This window comes from Homo sapiens, chromosome 7 (assembly GCF_000001405.40).
Source record: "Homo sapiens chromosome 7, GRCh38.p14 Primary Assembly".
Lineage (NCBI taxonomy): Eukaryota > Metazoa > Chordata > Mammalia > Primates > Hominidae > Homo > Homo sapiens.
The window spans coordinates 25,027,269-25,030,293 of record NC_000007.14 but is presented as its reverse complement, the minus strand read 5'-3'; the positions used below and the strand labels follow the sequence as shown (position 1 = coordinate 25,030,293).

Genomic DNA, 3,025 nt, shown 5'->3' with positions numbered 1-3,025 from the left:
GCTTACCGAATACCACTTTGTAACACATAGAGAAAAATAGGACAATGTAATGAGTTTTATTTTATCTAAATGAATTCAACGTAAAGACCTGGCTTTATTCTGGGATTTTTTTTTTTGTTGTTGTTCTCCTATTTCTTCAGCGATATATAGCTTTTGTTTGTTTAGGCTTTTCTTGGCAAAATAAAAATTGGGTTTTCCTTTGGGAATCCTCTCTTCAAGTTTCCTGTTGCTTTTTGATCTTATTCTGTTCATGCCCTCAAAGGCCTATACCACAGCTTTACTGTGACCTCGTGTCACTGTTTCTTTGTCAATTTCATCCTTTATTCCCCATCACCTATCAGGACATGGACTCCAGCCTCTCAGCACACCGAATTTGTGCCTGAGTGTGTGGTAAGACCTCAAGATAAAGGTTTGTCTTCTGTGATTCTTTGTCACTGCTTCGTCCCATGTCACATCTCACAGGGAATTATTTTGACACTCTCCCCTTATAAATGAGGTCCAACTCATTTGTGAGAACTTGAGCTGTAATTTGCAGTTTGTCGTGGCATGTTTTATCTACTTTGACTCGGGTTGTTTCTCTCCGTCTTATCATTTAACAAGTACATAGTCTATTTTTACTTCTCCTAACTCTAGCTTTTATTCCACCTATCCTTCGCCTGATATATTTTCCAGGACTTCTTTTTCTGGAATGATTTCTCGTTATCTCACTTATCTTAAATCCAAACTTAGTCTTTAGGTACAAGAATCTGTGACTTTTTCTATCCATTCACAAACATTTACTTATTGATGATTTCTTTTTAGGTTGCTTCCTTGGGCCGGTGAGCTCTTGGATCCATTTCTTGCCCTCCCCCAGTTCTGCCTTATGTCACAGGGCTGTGTGACCCCATGCAGGCTGGGCTTTTCAGGGCCCTGAGTCCCTTGGTTTCCAGCTGGGTTTGTGCAATGGGAGACTGGCTAGGGGGGCGGGGAGAAGCTCAGGCTCCAGCAGCCATGTCTCTCCCCACTGGTCTCACCACTGCCAGGCAGGCCCATCAAGGTCCCAGCTCTGATGACACCACCTGTCACCCAGGTCCCCTCAGCCCAGCAGCTAGAGGGCTTCTTGGTGGTGCTCAGCTCTGGGGTGCACCCCTTACCCTAGCAACCACTTCCCTGCATTGATCTCTGCTCTGAACACTCAGAGAGCTTTCTCTTTTCCAGGTTAGACCCTGACTGACATAAAGGTAAATTCTCAGAAGTTTAATTGCTGCATCACAAACTTTAAGACTTTAAAAGGAAGGTTAAAGAGATGTCTTTATGCTTTCTTACTCTCCCCAAGGCCTTTCTTCCACCTGTAACTTTCTGAGCAAGCTCAGGGCCCTTCCCTTCTACCATCTTCTCTGTTTACACATCTCAGCCCCTGGGCATTGGAATATCTGTCTGATCACAGTTCATTTTTTAAAATGATAAACAAAGCAAAGAGGTGAGATGGAAAGTCACCACTTCCTGTGGTAATTGTTATCTAGGCTTTCAGAACACGCCTAGGCAAGTGGAAAGAATAAGCAATTATCTGCGTAATTCAAGCAAACATTGACTCCCCTTATTTGACATGAGTGGCTAGTGGAAGGAAGGGAGAAGTGGAATTAATTACTAATGCCTTTGAAATCTCAGGAATTAGCTAGGGAGTTGCTGAACTCACGACGTCATTTTTTCACGACGTCATTTTCTATCGGGAGTCTGGTGAAGGAATGGCATCTGGCTGGCCATTTCAACGATTTCACCAAGTTTTGAATTTTGGCAGGACTAAGTCAAAGAACAAAGTGACTTTTGTGGTTTCTGGAGCAGAAAGACTTAGTGACTTTGACTCAGCAAGCCAGATGAGAAGGCTCCAGGCACTGCCTCCCCAGGCATGGAGATGGCTGCCTATAAATCTGAGTTACTGCATTTTTCACTTGCATCAGACAGGGCCCTCATTAGAAACAAGGCTACCATCAAATTTGGGTCAAGGTCTGGCTTCGTGTTGTGATTTACCAAATAAAGACTATCAACTGTCTTTTTCAGGCTGCTGATTTATCTTTAGCTTTCTCTGAATTTGTGACTCTAAAAGACCGTGCTTATTTGGCAATGTAACATAATCACGAAAATAAATTGTATAGCAAGCCATTCTTTGAATGCAGACATAGGGAGGCAGCTGCGGTGGAAAGAGCCCTGATCTTGCAGTCAAGAGATCTGAGTTTGAGTCCAGACCTTACTACTCACTAGCTGAACAACCACACTCAGCCACCAAATCACAGTGAGTTTCTTATCGATTAAAATTAAGTGCTATGAAAGTGAAGAAGTTAACATGAAAGAGTAACATACAAGCACAAATTAATATTATTATTAAATTCTTCAGTTCCATTTTTTCAGTGTTGGTTATGGACTGGTGCTAACTCTCCGGCTACTTGCATCCTTTCATTAGCCCATTGTTAAAAGCAACGGATGAAATAGCAGGCGTGTCAGGGTAGCTAGTCAGGGGCTACCATTGACATGGCTACACGGGGACCAGGGTCTGAAAGCCACAGCTAAAGTAACCCTCTGTTTGATAGTCGGGTTTCAAAATTATAAACTGAGAGATCCTAGTCAGGCTCAGATGGGAGCACATCCCATTTCCTCTGCTTCCTCCCTCAGCTCGCCCTTCCTGACTTCCTGTGAGTGCCACTATTTGGACATTTTGAGGTCCTAGCAGCTCTCCTCCCATACAGCTGTGGGGACAGGCTACTCTCAGCAAGCCAGACCATCTCAGGCCGACTGGACACAGTGAGCATGAACACAGTGAACAATCTTTTAAAACAGACCCAGAAAATAACATGAAGCCAAGAACAAGGTAGATACCATTTGCAATTTAAAGTGTGATATCATAGGAACAAAAGCGTTTTGACTGTCACTGAAGCTTTGTTTTCCCAGGCCAGAAAAACTGTGAAAGAACAACTAGAAATGAATGTACACGTATTTTGTTTTGTTCTGATAAATGCTGGATCAGAGCACATTGCCTCAACTGTCTACATCC

The 3,025-nt window shown here is 43.1% G+C and overlaps 1 annotated feature.

Annotated features, from left to right (window-relative positions):
• Positions 975-1,476: an enhancer, noted in NCBI's record as "H3K4me1 hESC enhancer chr7:25068437-25068938 (GRCh37/hg19 assembly coordinates)". NCBI's record gives its function as "activates a minimal SCP1, AML or CMV promoter by ChIP-STARR-seq in naive and primed H9 embryonic stem cells {active_cell/tissue: H9 hESC(naive and primed)}" and the evidence as "EXISTENCE:reporter gene assay evidence [ECO:0000049][PMID:30033119]".